The sequence below is a fragment of the Homo sapiens genome, chromosome 5 (genome assembly GCF_000001405.40).
Source record: "Homo sapiens chromosome 5, GRCh38.p14 Primary Assembly".
Taxonomy (NCBI): Eukaryota; Metazoa; Chordata; class Mammalia; order Primates; family Hominidae; genus Homo; species Homo sapiens.
This window is the reverse complement of record NC_000005.10, coordinates 87253038-87269545: the sequence shown is the minus strand read 5'-3', so window position 1 is coordinate 87269545 and position 16508 is coordinate 87253038. Positions and strand designations below refer to the sequence as shown.

The following is a 16508-nucleotide window of genomic DNA, read 5'->3' as shown; positions in this document are numbered from 1 at the left end:
TCTCTGACCCAAGTTCTCATTAAGTGACCCAAAGACTCTTCTGCATCACTATGCTTTCTCTAATCAGAAGCTGGGCTGTGCACTGAAATAAAAACATTCTAACCAATACATTTTTCAAATTATTACTATAGTACTCGTTTAAACACCTGTATTCAAAGCTTCTCACTAATCATCTAGCTTTATCAAGTAACACACACAAGTTAATATACACTATGACTGCCTTGGTAGCCGCAGTTTGACTAAATTCTGGGACACCACCTCAACTTGGAAGGGACAGAACTATATCCGGTTCTCATTAGATACACATTTTCTCATGCTTTCCATCTTAAAGACTTTACACTTTCCCAGAGGAGCAATAAATGTAGGAAGACGCCAGGTAGTATGCCTGTAAGGAAGATAAGTGATCAGATTAAATTCCTACCCAAGAAACCTGAAACTTCAAAAACTTTTCCTAACAAACCACAGATGAAAAGGACAAAGTATGATTTACCCCTTCATTTCCACTTCTTTTCTGGAGCCAGCTTCCCAAATTCCTGAACAGCAGTCTTAACTTACTGGTTAGTTGGAGGAGCGGTCAACGGTATGGCCACCTCTTCCTCCTCGTATTCTGGTCCATCCAGAGAGTCACCTTCGTCCACTGTCCCGAGGCCCGCCCCCAAAGGGGGCAGGTAAGGGGGAGGGGGCAGAGGGGGAAAACCGCCGCCTGGCCCGAGAGTCTCAGCAAGCAACGAAGTGGGCAGTTTGGTGAGAGCCATGTCTCCACTAGGTCCAGCAACAGCAGCACCGGCCACGCCAGCAGCAGCACCAGCTACGCCAGCAGCAGTACCTCCCCCTGTCAGTCCAGCTCCCCCCAGTGCCCCTGCCACAGACCCGGCTCCTAGGAACTCTGACCCCAAAGCGGCTCCGCCACCCAGAGTTCCAGCCACTCCGGTCTCCACCAGCCCAGGATAGGGGGCGGCTGCCACAGGCAGGGCCGCGGGTATCTTCACCCGACACACTGCGGGATAGGCACTGGAGCCCGCTGCCGCGCCGCCTCCTCCAGCTCCGGCTGTTACCGGGCCGCCCTCCTCACTGCCGGCCTCGGCCGCCATCATGTTGAAGCCCGCTCTACTCTGCCCTACCCTGCCCGCCCGGGAGCCCCAGGGGCCACCAGGCCCGGGCTCCGAGCAGCCCCACCCAGACGCGTCTCCCCTTCAGCTCCCCAGGCTGAGGAAACAACAACAAAAGGAGAGAGCCCGCCGCCGCGCCCCCTCCTAGGGCCACAGCCCAGGCTCCCCAGCTGCCTGGGTTACGGGAAGCCAAGTGGGCAAAAAACCCAACGCCTGCACAAACGCCACCCAAACCTCACCGCACACACCCACACTCACGCACACAAACACATGTACAGAAGCGAAAACTTCCTCGCTGCACTAAAGAGGAAAGGAAGCACAGGGAAAGAGGCTGAGGCTGCTACCGCTCCTTCAGCCGCCACCACCGCTTCTTCACCACCCCAGTTCCGGCCACCCACACCGCAGCCACCGCCGGTGCCGCTGCTGAGGCTGGGGCCACTGCAGCCGCTTCATCCTCCACCAGGCAGATGAGAGGGGTGGGGGGGCAAGAGAAAGGGGGGCGGGGTAACGAGGAAATCGACTGAACTGCTCACTACCTGGAGCTCTCAGTGAGTGAAACGGGAGAGAGAGAAAGGAAGGCGGGGCAGGGGAGGAGGGACGGAGGGAAGGAAGGGCGGAGAAGGGAGAGGGCAGCTTGTGCGCAGGCGCGTTCCCGGAGCGGGGGCGGGGGGCCGGGCCGGGAGGAAAAGGAAGAGTCCAGAGGGAAGGAAGCGGCGGGGACGCGCGGTGCGTGGTCGCGCTTGCTGTCCTCCTCCGGTTCCAAGCGTGTGGCGGCGCGGCCGCATCTCCTGTTGGCGTGGCCGGCGGCGCGCGCCTGTCTCCCGGGGCTTTGTTTGATGGGCGGGAGAAGAGGGAAGGGTACCTGAGCACGCGGGTGCTTGGCGCTGTTAAAGCCGGAGAGACCAGAGGGGGACCAGGAGGCGGTGGAGAGGAAGGAGGGGGAAAGGGAAAGGAAAATGCCCAGAAACTAGTTCCGTACTTCCTGACCAGTGGAAAAAACAGCCTTAACCAGCAGCGCAGAAACCGGGCAGGGGTCAGGTAGCTTTGAAGATCGGGGCAGTACTATTAATGTTTTCTTTTTCGTTGCATGCTATAAATCACTATGACTATCTCACACACACACAGTTAAAATAGATTCTGAAACTCCAAAACGAAATAAAGGGCACCATATGAGAAGGGTGAAGAATTTGAGTAGAAATAGTGGTTATGAAGTAAGATTTCTACCAGTATTTGCATACGTTTTTCTTTATCAACTGTCTCATATACTTACCTATGCCATTATAAGTCTGTTGGATACTGATGAAGAGGAGGAGGTGCCACAGAAAACACTAATCAATGCACTTTTGTCCTGGTTTGTGTGCAAAAGACTGCAGGACGTGATCCACAATGCAAGCACCTTCAACAAGTCAAATGTCAAGAATGTCCCAGAATGCTAGTTATAATTATATATCGTTTCAAAAGTAGCAATAAACTGAAAACTCATTTTTAATACAATTAAGGAGAAGGGTGTTATTTTGTCTTTTACACTAAAATGTATACAAACTATGCATTCATGTAGAGGGAGCTTCCCATGGTTTGAAATTAACAATATTGTTAAATTCTCCCAGGAGTGATCCCACATTAAATACCATTGGATATTGATCTTTGAGATCAATATTTTCTGTGCTAAGGATGATCAAACTAACACTCAGGATGGCAAGTGGCTGTGATAGAAACCCAGGAAAAAGAGAAAAGACCACTAAAAGACGTGACAAGATACAGGCAATGCATTGCCTTTGTAAGTTTGCACAGGCCTATTTACCTAGTCAATGACAACAATCCAACTTGATTAGGAGTAGTCCTGGGGCCTCCATTACGCATATCTCTTAGCAGTGTGCTACCTGGGAGAAGGAAGATGGACCAGTCACAGGAGCTAGAGTTCTCAAAGTGAATTCAGGCCGCAACATCCTAGGAATTCAGAAATGCCACCTCAGACCTTCTGAATCAGAAAATATGCAGCGATCCATTTTAACAAACCCTCCAAGTGATTGTTTGCACACTTAAGTTTGAGAACCACTATATTAATGTATAGTATACTAATCAAGAAGGAGGTATGCAATACCTAAAAACGGTTCTGAAAGAAATAATAAATGTCATTCATTAGGTGGGTAGGTAAAATAGGCGGGTTTTGAGTTGCCAAGCTCTGTGCTGTTCTAGAAATGAGAATGAAGTAGTTCCATAATACTTAATAATGAAGTACTACTTATGGTGGCCTCCCTGAGAACAGTTTTCTTTTAAACTTAGACCCTCAGTTAGACAAGACTATCAAAATACCTACTCTACTTACTGTCTGCTGTGTGAACACCAAGTGCAACAATCCCAACAAATCTTAATATAGCCTGTGCTTGAAAACCTCCAGTGTGTTAGCATCCCAATCCTCCAACATTCCTGTCCCAGTCACCACTGTCAGCCCTTGAATGCAGGACATTGAACTGGCAGGTTATCACCGGCTCTTGGTTATCACTGATTTCTAAATGTTCACACACCCTCTGTATGTTGCCTGGGAGTCCAGGTGAGGCTCACTACTCTTACTGCAGAATTACCTCCTCCTTTTTGACAATTCTTTAGCACTTGTAAAGGTCAATATTTAATGCAGTCTAACACCTATCAAATGCTCAATTAAATGTTTTCTAGACTTTTAGGTGTATGTACCTACAAAACTGTACTGCAAATACAACCTGTGGTCTATTCTACTGCCTAGCCCAGTCCTAGGCAACCTCAGTATGCTACTTTGAACAGATCTTCATCCTTTTAACAAATACCAAATTTGATCAGCTCCCATCTTTGGAAATCAATTTCTTAACCAGTAGGAAATAACTACTATGTCTATTTGTAAATCAGCCTTATACCAATATCTTACCTAGTTTTTGTTTAGCCTTAGAGTTAGCCCTGTTCTTTTCCTCCAAAGAAATTGCCACATATTTTTATGAGGTATTTTCAGATATTTAATATATTCCTATTATTGGATAGATCTAGGCTCTAATCTTTACTATTGCTTGTGTACTTTCTGAATCTCAAATACGTTGTCTATCTTTATTTTCATTTTTTCCAAAAGGATTTAATGTTTCTACTTAATTTTTGTCCATTGCCTTTCTTTTCTACCCACCTTAACTTTCTGCCCAGTTAACAAAGGGAAGTAAACTATCTTAATTAAATTCACAGATATTAAACAGGGAGGTATTGAAAAACAGAATAGTACACAAAAGAAAGAAAATTCAAAATATATTTTACCTTTAGTAAAATAAGCTATTATATCTGTGATTTTAGAAAAGTTACTCTGGATCTTGAAACATAGTATTTAATGAAGACTAAATAATAAAAAGTGCTGGACAAAAACTTGTGTATGAAAAGAAACTGAAAATTTAAGAAATGAAGTTGGCTCATTCTGGTTTCATTGGCAACTGAAATATGAATGTGGCCGGGTGCGGTGGCTCACGCCTGTAATCCTAGCACTTTGGAAGGCCGAGGCGGGCAGATCACAAGGTCAGGAGATCGAGACAATCCTGGCTAACACTCCAGCCTGGGTGACAGAGCAAGACTCTGTCTCAAAAAAAAAAAAAAGAAAAAGAAATATGAATGTACTACGTTCCAAAATATTTTATAGTTTTGATATCTTGAGTATGTGGAAAGGTAATTCTAACTCAGTAACATAACTGTAATTTTAGAGGACCTTAGAGCATAGGTAAGAATAGTTTCTGATGGGAGGACTAACCAAGAAGTAATAAAGAGCTTACTGCTGTGTTTGAAGAATGCCAAATTGTGTTCCATGCCCTAGTACATATTGAGTTACACAAATAGCCTTCCAAATTTACCTAAATAGTATCAAAAGGTTTCATTGACCCAATAATTTTGAAAGAAAGCCTTTACTTCTAACCCTAATGTCCCCACTGCATTTATTGACTTTATCTTAAAACCCTCCAGAGCACAAATTTTTTTATTACAAAGATCTTATGAGAAAATAACATCGAGGAGATACAGGTTAAAGGAAATACTTTGATGAAAAGGCAAATAACTCTGCAGAGATTACAATATGTGGTATAATAACTAAGATTTATGAAAATTATAAATACCATAGAGAAATTGAAGAACTGTGTGATGATCTCTGAGGCTGTAAAATAAATTACAAGGTAAATTATCCAGAGCTCTCTCAAAACATTCAAACCAATATATGAGTAAAGAAGATTAGAACAGTTAGATCTAAATATCTCTTAAAATATAAAATAATAGAAAAATATATTTTTTTTTTTTACTTTATTCCTATTTTGTCTTTATATTGCAGATACTTCATTATTTTTTGTCAGAACCTTTCCTCCTTCATGATTTCTAGTCTCTTTTTCTTTACCTATTATTTTACTCTGACCAGGCACATTTATGTATTTTCCTTTCTTTGCCTGGCTCCTATATATGATAGTACCTCATGGTAGAAGTAAAGGAGAAAAGGGAACGGAATGGTTTCAAGGCAAAGAATGTGGGAGAGTCGGGTGGGTAGGACTTTGCCATATTTCCCTCATTATTACACTCCCATTTTTCACAGATAATATTTTTTGAATATGCCAGCAACAATTTAAATAGCACCTGAAGCACAGTCATGAAATCCAACTAAGCTTTGGTCTTTTCACCTCAAGAATCCTGCAGTCTCTAATTCAAGTTACATTCTTTGGTCTACCTGAGAGTCTTCCAGGAATGCTTTCACTTGCAAATTCAGTTAGTATGGCAATACACACCGCTCTTTAAAGTAACTATACAATGAAAGGGCTAAGTGGAGCCTTGAGTCAGATAATTATCATAAATAAGGTGAGAGCTTTAACTACTGCAAATGCACTGTAAGTAGTGTAACTTTACTCAACTAAAAACAGCTTTCTATTTCTAACTATAATTATTTCTCAATCCGCGTGCTCTTTTGAAGACTTTTCAACTTCACTTGTTATCTTACTAGAACTCTTATTTTTCAACTTCCTATTCACTGTTTATCGAATAGTTTTTAAAAAGCAATGAAATATGACATGTAAATATAATGGTATGTATCAGTGATGTTCAGACTTCTGGGTTTCATAGACTACTAAAGTTTCCACAAAAATTGAGAGACTACAGAATTGCCAATTATGAGTTTGCCAATGTTGTGAAGAGAGAAGTATTTTGTTATTACAACAAAACTGCCATTTCCTGCTGCTTTATTTCATAAAAGGAAAGGACATTTCAAAGCAGGGAGAAAGAGGGAAGGAGGAAAGAGAAAGGATGGAAATAATTTTAGAAAAAAAAGGAAAAGTCCTTAGAATTACATAAATTTAGCTTCATGAAATATTCATCATATATTATGTTCTTATTTTATCTTTTTCCATGGATGCATTAAAAATTGGCATTGAAGGCCAGGCATGGTGGCTCAAGACTATAATCCCAGTACTTTGGGAGGCCAAGGCAGGAGGATCACTTGAGCCCTGGAGTTCCAGACCAGCATGGGCAACATAGTGAGACCCTGTCTCTATGAGAAATAGAAAAAATTAGCCAGGTGTGGTGGTACATGCCTGTAGTCCCAGCTAATTGGGAGGCTTAGGTGGGCAGATAGCTTGAGCTCCAGAGGTTGAGGGTGCAGTGAGCTGTGATTGTGCCACTGCACACCAGCCTGGGTGACAGCAAGACTCTGTCTCAAAAACAACAACAACAAAACAACAACAACAAAAAAGAAAAACAAATAGCATTAGTTTGACAAAATATCTTAGTTTGGATTTCCCCAGAAGCAGACTTTGAGACTAGTACTTGAGTGTTAAATTTTTTACTTAGGAAGTGATTCCAGAATACTTCAGTTCAAGAGCAAGAAAGGGGAGGGGGCCAATACAGGGAATGCTAAAATGAGCAGGTTGCTGCTGTGGATAAGTAGGGCACTCCATTCATGTGAAACTCTGGGACACAGCACAGAATCCACCTGAGAGTTGTTACGCCTAAGGGTCAAAGAAAATGTGTTTTATCCATCAGTTCTCATTTGGCATTGGTTGAGGGCTGCTCCTGGAAGCATCTCCTCTGCAACACTTCCAGACTGCCTTGTGTGCAATTTGAACATCTTCATGGCTAGAGAAAGCCCTCAGGTAGAGAGCCACTGGTGCATGCAGTAAGAAACCATTGGCATGCACAGAACAGGTGACTCCAAGGGGGTGTGGACTTGACACTGACAGTAGCTATTGTACCAGGATTTCAGAACCCCTGGATTGAAGAACTTATTTCTGTTAAGTACAGATGCTTCTTGACTTAGATGGAGTTACGTCCTGACAAAACCCCATTGTAAATCAAGGAGCATACTGAATGCCCATCACTTTCATACCATCATAACGTACAAAAATCATTAAGTGGAACCATTGTAAGTTGGAAACTGTCTAGGTACTTTGGAATGTCATTGTATTTCAGCCATTTTATATTTATCTTACTCTATAAAGCCCTAGTGTGCTAAGACTATTTAGCACACATGGTTAAGAAGCTTATTCAGCTTGGGTGTCGTGGCTCATGCCTATAATCCCAGCACTTTGGGAGGCTGAGGCAGGAGAATCCCTTGAGCCCAGGAGTTTGAGACAAACCTAGGCAACACAGGGAGACCCCATCTCTACAAATATTATTATTATTTTTGAGACAGAGTCTCACTCTGTCACCCAGGCTGGAGTGTAGTGGCACGACCGCGGCTCACTGCAGCCTTTGCCTCCTGGGTTCAAGCAATTCTCCTGCCTCAGCCTCCCAAGTATCTGGGATTACAGGCACCTGCCATCGTGCCTGGCTGATTTTTGTATTTTTTTAGAGATGGGGTTTTACCATGTTGGCAGGCTGGTCTTGAACTCCTGACCTCAGGCGATCTGCCCGCCTCAGCCTCCCAGAGTGCTGGGATTACAGGTGTGAGCCACCACACCCAACCTACAAATTTTTTTTTTTTAATTAGCGAGGTTACAGTGGCTTCTGCCTGTAGTCCCAGCTACTGAGGAGGCTGAGGTGAGAGAATCGCTTGAGGCCAGGAAGGTCAAGGTTGCAGTGAGCCATGATCATGCCACTGCACTTCTAGCCTAGGTGACAGAGCAAGACCATATCTTTAAAAAAAAAAAAAATCAGTGTTAATGGTGTGACTGAGACAGGAGCTCCTAATTTCTCAGTGATGCATTTTGTCTCTAGATCAGGGCCTGCCAGAAGTGGTTTTCTAAGACTGTTTAATTATTGCTTGCTTCCAAACATATTCCATGTCTCTTCTTTTTATTTAACATGTTTTTTGAGCTAGAAAATAGAAGCATGGTCCAAAGGTCATGACTTAGTAGAAAATTTTAAAGTTTTCAAAGTGCTTCTTTGTACATTGACTCTTTTACAACTCCAGGAAGTATGACAGTATTATTATCTTCAACTGACAGATCTGAAAGGCTTTTAAGTTCCAAAGGTGTGGCCAGTTCACCTCAAGTGACGAAGGTTTATTATAAGGATTCCTGGGGGAGTAAGGCAGGACAAGAAAACTGTTCCACAACAAAATGTCTAGTGTCATAGGGAACCATAATAGTATTTATTGTTCAGGATTCAGAAGCTGCTGCAGAGAATGAACAGGCGTGCCTGTGTCATGTCTGAAAAATAAGGACCATGTTATTATCTCCTTCGGGTGCTGCACCATTCCCATGACTCAGGTGCTCTGACACTGCTTCATTCACTGCTCCCCCAACACAGTCACTGCTTCTACTGCTTCTGAATCTGTCCCCAATACCAGCCATCCCTCTCTCCACACCTCTCTAGCTCATGATTTTTGCTTACTCGTGGCTCCCACTACTTCTCTGCTTCCACTTACAAATATTTTTGAAGTGCCAGGGAAACAATAGTATGCCAAAATAGGTACAGTCTTTGCTCTCATGGGGCATACAGTTTAGAGAGAAGAGAGGCAGACATTTAATCAAGTAACCACATAAATAAATGCAGCATTTAACACTAAGATTGATTATGTTAAGGAAAGAAAAACTAAACTAACTTGAAATCTTTATGGATTTTGTTGTCACTTGACAGTTTTTGTTGGGAGTTCACAGAGTGTTACAGTATAATAATATAGACATAGTAAGTTAGCCCCAAACCTAGAATCCTGCCAGAGATAGACTGTTTGATTGGCACCTCTGCCGCTACTAGCTCCATAACTTGGCCAAGTTAATTAACTTCTCTGAGTCTCAGTTCCCACATTTGTTATATGCATGGAAAGCAACACCTATTGGCTTAGGTTGCTTGAATCAACTAGAAAAGTGTGTTAAGAATTTTTGGTTTGAAAATCAAACAAATATAGTAGGTTAAAAAATACAGCAACATATTATTTTTCTAGTCACCTAAAAATGTATGACTTATGCACATAGCCTGACTGGTTTACAATTGTACTTTCCTCAAGTAAAATAATCAGTCTTTTAAGACTTGGTATTAATCAAAGCATGAGATTATTTTGGCCTGAGGTTTCTTAAATGAATTATGTATTGATGTTCTTATTTCCTGAGCCTTCCAATAGAGGTCATGTATGATATGCTGCTTATATAATCCTGGTTCTTAGACAATATAAGCCTGTTTAGCTCTTTTGTTCCACAAAACCAATCATCATAGCATCACAGGAATAAATTCATCTAATTAAATAATTATTGAAAGAGTAAGTGGTTATACTTATTATTTCTTTCCTTTTTTTTTTTTTCTTTCGAGACGGAGTTTCATTCTCATTGCCCAGGCTGGAGTGCAAGGGCACAATCTCGGCTCACTGCAAACTCCGCCCCCCAGGTTCAAGCGATTCTCCTGCCTCAGCCTCCCGAGTAGCTGGGATAGCAGGTGTGCACCACCATGCCCGGCTAATTTTTTATTTTTAGTAGAGATGGGGTTTCTCCATGTTGGTCAGGCTGGTCTTGAACTCCCGACCTCAGGTGATCCACCCGCCTCGGTCTCCCAAAGTATTGGGATTACAGGCGTGACCCACCGCGCCCAGCCTATACTTGTTATTTCTTTATATTTTGCAGCTATAAAGTCTTTATATCATTGATTCATTTGATATAAATAAAGATATAAGTAAAAGTTTTATTAAAGGAATAAAACTCGATTCATTTTCATCTGAAACAATTTTCTATCCCTTATGGCAAATATTTTTATTTTTAAATTATATTTTTCTTTTTTAATAAGTTAATATATATTAACATTTTCTTTCATTTTACATGGACTACACAAACATGTTTTCTATAACTGTTTAATATGAATTCATTATTTCATAACAACAGTACGTATAATTTTTTGTCATATTCTATAGTAGCAAATATTTTATATATTATATTTTCTGATTGTTTTGATATATTAGCATTCATTTTTACTGAAGTAATTAAAACATTGAAAGATAAAATCAGGCAATGCACTTATAAGAGTAGTCCCAGCTACTCAGGAGGTTGAGGCAGGAGAATCGCTTGAATCCAGGATGCAGAGGTTGCAGTGAGCTGAGATGGTGCCACTGCACTCCAGCCTGGCAACAGAGTGAGACTTTGCCTCAAAAAAAAAAAAAAAAAAAAAAAAAAGAATTCTACAGGGAAATAACACAGTGATTATAGAAGATTCTGTTAGTTGCTTATCCAGAATCCTCTTCCCATCTCCTTTCTTGCTAACTGAACTTTTCCCAGCTAACCTTGCAACTAAACGGCCATGTGATCCAGTTGGGTTCCTTCATGGCTTCTAGACTTGTGTCATAGTTAAAAACACCTCTATTACAAGACTATTTTTAGAAACTCTCTCAAGTTATCTTCTGGTGCTTTTTTGGTTTCAATTTTCATGTTGCTTAAATATTTGATTCACCTGGAATTTATTTTGGTGTATAGTTATCTATCTTTTTCCCCCTTTATATAACTTTATCCTTTCATGCACTTAGTTATTATCTTTGCTTTTTCTCCCATTACCCAGTTATTCAACTTTAAACAAATTTTTCACTCTCAGCAGTGAGATATTATTAAAAGGAGGAAATAACATTAGGACTTTCATATTTTAATTATCTCTAGCATTCAGGAAAAGCTTTTGTTAGATTTAAAAGTTTGGGTAATGACAGATCAAGAACAACCTGCTTGAAATTACTCTCTCTTTCTCCACCCCATACAAACATCCACTTTGGAGTGAAAATACCAAGGTGGAAAAGAGAAAACTCCACAAATATGTGAGAAATATAATGATCTATCCAAAATTTGATTAAAATCTTTTTTTCTCGTCAAAGAAATTTCTAGCTCCACAACTTTTGAAAAGTTAAATGCAGGCCTTCTGTAGTTAAACTTTACAAAATATATATATTAAATTTATATATATATAATATAATATATACATATATAAATATATTATATATTATATTATATATACATATATAATATATTATATATTATATACAATATATAAATATATTATATATTATATATACATATATAAATATATTATATATTATATATACATATATAATATATTATATATGTATATATAATATATAAATATATTATATATTATAATATATAATATATAATATATAATATTATATAATATATATATATAATATTATATTATATATATAATATATAATATTATATATATAATATATAATATATTATATATTATATATACGTATATAAACATATTATATATTATATATACGTATATAAACATATTATATATTATATATACGTATATAAACATATTATATATTATATATTTCATATATACATATATAAATATATTATATATTTATAGTATTATATATTTATATATATATATATATTTTTTTTTTTTTTTGAGATGGAGCCTTGCTCTGTTGCCCAGACTGGAGTGCAGTGGTGCGATCTCAGCTCACTACAACCTCCACCTCCCAGGTTCAAGCGATTCTCCTGCCTCAGCCTCCCGAGTAGCTGGGATTATAGGTGCCCACCACCATGCCTGGCTAATTTTTGTATTTTTAGTAGAGGTGGGCTTTTGTCACGTCGGCCAGGCTGGTCTCAAATTCCTGACCTCAGGTGCCACCCGCCTCAGCCTCCCAAGATGCTGGGATTACAGGCGTGAGCTGCTGTGCCCTTCCTAAACATTATATTATTTAAAGAAGGAAGGAATCACTTCTCTGGAGGAGATACACTTCATTAATCTCCTTTTCCTCTGAGTAGATGATGATTTTTTTTATCCGCAGACATAGAACACAACTACTTAAAGGTATGATCCAAGTTAGGAACATGGGGTTACAAGAAGATCTGCTTAAAATAATATGTATCCTTATCAAATACATTTGAGAAGAGATAATTTATTATAAAACTGACAAAATATTGATACTTGTTAAAGCTAGGTGATGGTACACACAGTATTCATTCTACCTTTTCTGTATGTTTGAAAAAATCCCATAATAAAAAGAGAAATGCTTTAAAATTTTGTTGGTCATTTATACCTGACTTTGTGTAAAGATCCTTAGACAAATCAGAGAAAAGTTTCCAGCGGGAGGTGAAGAGGACTCGCCTCAGAAAGATGCATTCAAATCAACCAACAACTGGTAAAAAAAGTTACCAATTCTCAAGTATTTGGAAATAACTCATGTCCAGCCGAAAAGAAGGAAAAGCATGAAGGATAGTACAAACTGGATCTGAAGACATCTACAAAATATTCCAGAAAACAGAATGCCTTTCCGTTAGAAGTCGAATCACAACACTCTATTAGTGTGGATGACTAGTTGTTACGAGTCAATATTACATCCCAAATTTTGGGACATTATGTCATAGTATCTTAGGTATTTATTATTTTTGTTAACAAAGAGTCTTTCTCTGCACTATAGTTTTGAGCTGTTAAAGCAAATTTAGCTTTTAAAAACAGTATGGCATTTAGATTAGTAAGGACCAAAATAAATAAACAAACCTGATTGCCATTTCAACTCTAAGATTCACATATTCCTTATTTGAAGTGAACTAAGACTGAAAAAGCTTGATGTTCATTAAAGCCGTATTTGTATTCAATTCTCACTCAGATTTTTCCAATCATATAGCTTTATTTTCACCAGGATTCACTTCTACAAAAGTATAATTAAATGAACAAGAGGAAAGGTTTCTGAGAACGTGATGTGCTTTGTTCCCAACCAGATCCTTCTTGTTGGTAATTCAAGCCAAAAGTTATATCATGTTTATTCTTATCCCATTCTTCTACAAAAAAAAAAAAAAAATCAAAACTTGTTTTCCAGCACTTTGCAAAGATGTAAATGAAAGAAACTGAATAAGACTGGCTTGCTTTATATAATAAAGAGAGGGCAACGAAGGAAGAAATAGAAGAAAAAACAAGCTAAAGGTGGAGAGCAGCGTTGTGTCTTTTTATTGTTGTTTTATTTTGGTAGGCAGGAGAGAAAAGAAACCCTGGTAAAAAGAAGATTATAAAGATTATTTTTACAAAGTTCTGAAGGGTAATTAGAATATATATGATTAGGTTTTACAGTCATATTTGTATTTATTTGGGATGTGTTTCTAAATTGACACTGATCTGAGGTTGAAATAAAGTAAGCCCAGTTTTATTCAAGTTTTAGTTCTATATAAACTTTACATAAGTTAACCTAAAGTGTGTGTATTAATGCTGTTCCTTAAGGTCACCATTATAAAGATGTTATTTTATTAATGACTCAAATATTAAGGTTAAATGGAATGATTGGCAGGAGACATATATTAAATTCCCTCATTGCTCATTATTTTTTTCACTAAATTCAAGACAAAGTATAATAAAAAGATCATAGGCATTGTTTTTACCTAGAACAGCTTGTGTTTCAGATCTAGCATGCAGAGTGGGGTGATTTTAGGCAAATAAAACTTAATGAACTTTTATTTCTATCTATGTAATTTTAATGACTTTTTTTTAGTTCTAGAAATTCTATTTGGTATTTTCTCAATATTCCCTGGTATCATTTGAAAATATAATGTTCTTTTTTCCATTTTTTATTTCATATCTTGAATCATTTGAAACATACTCACTTCATAGTTAATATCTAATAATTCTATTTTCTAAAGTTTTTTGGGGGGTCTAAACATGTTGTTTGTTGTATTTATTGACCTTACCTCACAACAGACTATTTCACATGTTTTGTAACTTTGGATTGTGAGTACATTTTAACCACAGTGTTATCTGTTTGAATCCTGCATGGTGTGTCCTTCTAGAATAGTTTATACTTCCACATCTAAGCAAGACGAAAAAACAGGGACTGGATTTACCCTTCTGCCTGAAACAACAAAAAATCTGGACAGAATATATGAAACAACTGTTTTTAAAGACAGCCAACATTGAGCAAAAAAGACAATGATTCCTAAGAGATAGGAACATAAAGAGAGCTCCAAGGAGAGATGGGAAACAAATGAGGATTTCCAAGAAAAGGGTGCATAGAAAGAGACTGCCAGGTTTTCTGAAGTGAGGAGATGGAAGTGGAAATATGGAAAGGCCAAGGAGACCAGAGTTTATAGATCAGAGTATTAAGAAGGAGAAAGCTATGTAAAAAGAGAATTCAAGAGATCTGTGGAAGGTCCCCCTGAAGTCAACACCCTAATGACAAGGCACACATTAACAGATTGGACAAAAAAGCAAAATCCAACTATATTCTATCTACAAAAAAACCTACTTTAAATAAGGCATAATTAAAAAAGAAAAGGATAGGAAAAGATATACCCTGCCAATACTAATCAAAATAAGGATGAAAAATGAATTTCAAAGCAAAAATATTACCAGGGCAAAAGAGGGTCACTTCTTAGAGTGATTTGGTATTTGCTTCTACAAGGCTCCCCGTGAGTATTATTAGCTTTCATATTCATGGACACAGAGAGGAGAGTAAGCCTAAGAATAAGAGGTAGAGACTTGGCACTGAGACTGGAATTTCTTGGCTTAAAGGTCTTCAGGCCCTATAGAGAGTGTAAATTCTAATCTCAAATCTGAATGCTGCTCTGAGGTAAATTCTAAGAGGAGACTGTTTTCGGACCCAGAATGTAGTAAGATGACAAACTTTCCTGCCCCCTGGTGTCATTTTTTTTTTTTCTTACTTCACAACTTTCACTGGATTCTAGTGAGTCCATCTTTTTGTAGAGGGCCTCAGTTCTAAGCCTCTACCTTGCCTCATCCGAGCTTTACCTCCCTGTATATCTATGTGAATGAAAACACATCCTTTGCCCTACCCTAAGACAAGTCCAGCACCAATTCACATTTTGAGATCTAGTTTTTAGTTTTGTCTTCACGTTTGACCTCTGGGGATTTCCTTACTCTCTTGCAAGCTCAGCTATGCATTTAAAAGTAGGTTTGTTATTTTTATCCAGCAATTTTTTGTTGTTTCATTGGAAGTTTTTCAGATATAGATTGCACTTTGCTGGTAATGGAAGTCTGTGTTTCTCTAAGTGAAGTAGGAGTAAAAGTGGCTACAGTAACATGAGGGTAAGGTTTGGAGATAATATTCACAAAATACTGAGCAGAGTGCCTGGGCCAAAGTTAATGCTCAGTACGGATAGTTATTATGGGGTGACTACAGTGTCAAAGGCATAGTGCTTTGGAGGTACAAAACAGGAGAGAATGCACTTTGGAGAAAACAAAAATACACCGGATGGAGGGCTTGTTATTTTTGTAGACTTTCTGTAGAACTTTCGTCAAGACATCTTTTTTTAAAAACTTGCTATTTTGGGTATTAAGTAATAGCAAATGTAAATTTTTTACGAGTTACTTTTCACTTTCAAAATAAAATTTGTATAGAAAATGGTTTAACTACATGATAATGACTTGTCTACAGGGATTAGTTATTAGACAGGAAAATGATTCTGAAAGAAGGAAAATTCATTTATGTATGTTAAAGTCAGGGTTGTGGGTACTGAGACACAAAATAAACAGTTTTGCTCCTAAAAGAGCTGGGGATCTGGTCAAGATATTATTCGACACATACGTACTTACAAAAAAAATCAACTGCCTATATTATCAGATAATATGTGTTTTTTTTTTTTTTTAAAAAAGGTTACAAATAACAAGTACTGTGAAAGGTCAGAAATGGAAATGCATCCTGGGTTGAAATAGGAAAGACTTCACAGACGATATGAGATGATACTGATCCTCCATAGCTGAGTAGTAATTAGGTAGTGGGGAGAAACGTAGCCAAAAGAAGAGACGTAAAAAAGATAGGCACAGGGCTGGACACGGTGGCTCACACCTGTAATCCCAGCACTTTGGGAGGTCGAGGCGGGCAGATCATGAGGTCAGGAGTTCGAGATCAGCCTGGCCAACATGGTGGAACCCCGTCTCTACTAAAAATACAAAAAAATTAGCCAGGCGTAGTGGCGCGTGCCTGTGATCCCAGCTACTGAAGAGGCTGAGGCAGGAGAATCGCTTGAACCCCGGAGGTGGAGGTTG

The 16508-nt window shown here is 38.7% G+C and overlaps 1 protein-coding gene across 2 annotated transcripts in view, besides 6 other annotated features; it reads right to left on the bottom strand.

The window, feature by feature from the left end:
- Positions 1–1663, bottom strand: part of RASA1 (RAS p21 protein activator 1) — a 124034-nt gene extending 122371 nt beyond the window's left edge. The window contains exon 1 of one of the 2 annotated variants that reach the window (NM_002890.3): positions 556–1663. In NM_002890.3, coding sequence (NP_002881.1) covers positions 556–1094 — 539 coding nt within the window. In that variant the 5' untranslated portion in view covers positions 1095–1663. Of the gene's footprint in view, positions 1–490 lie in introns of both variants that reach the window. The other variant, NM_022650.3, reaches the window with a different exon arrangement.
- Positions 699–1586: an enhancer, noted in NCBI's record as "H3K27ac hESC enhancer chr5:86563777-86564664 (GRCh37/hg19 assembly coordinates)". NCBI's record gives its function as "activates a minimal SCP1, AML or CMV promoter by ChIP-STARR-seq in naive H9 embryonic stem cells {active_cell/tissue: H9 hESC(naive)}" and the evidence as "EXISTENCE:reporter gene assay evidence [ECO:0000049][PMID:30033119]".
- Positions 892–941: an enhancer, noted in NCBI's record as "active region_22752". NCBI's record gives its function as "activates an Ori minimal core promoter by ATAC-STARR-seq in GM12878 lymphoblastoid cells {active_cell/tissue: GM12878}" and the evidence as "EXISTENCE:reporter gene assay evidence [ECO:0000049][PMID:35858748]".
- Positions 1122–1301: a silencer, noted in NCBI's record as "silent region_16160". NCBI's record gives its function as "represses an Ori minimal core promoter by ATAC-STARR-seq in GM12878 lymphoblastoid cells {active_cell/tissue: GM12878}" and the evidence as "EXISTENCE:reporter gene assay evidence [ECO:0000049][PMID:35858748]".
- Positions 1640–1934: an enhancer, noted in NCBI's record as "tiled region #46; HepG2 Activating DNase unmatched - State 1:Tss". NCBI's record gives its function as "activates a minimal TATA promoter and a strong SV40 promoter by Sharpr-MPRA in HepG2 cells {active_cell/tissue: HepG2}" and the evidence as "EXISTENCE:reporter gene assay evidence [ECO:0000049][PMID:27701403]".
- Positions 1642–1891: a silencer, noted in NCBI's record as "silent region_16159". NCBI's record gives its function as "represses an Ori minimal core promoter by ATAC-STARR-seq in GM12878 lymphoblastoid cells {active_cell/tissue: GM12878}" and the evidence as "EXISTENCE:reporter gene assay evidence [ECO:0000049][PMID:35858748]".
- Positions 8620–8914: a silencer, noted in NCBI's record as "tiled region #12969; K562 Repressive DNase matched - State 8:EnhW". NCBI's record gives its function as "represses a minimal TATA promoter and a strong SV40 promoter by Sharpr-MPRA in K562 cells {active_cell/tissue: K562}" and the evidence as "EXISTENCE:reporter gene assay evidence [ECO:0000049][PMID:27701403]".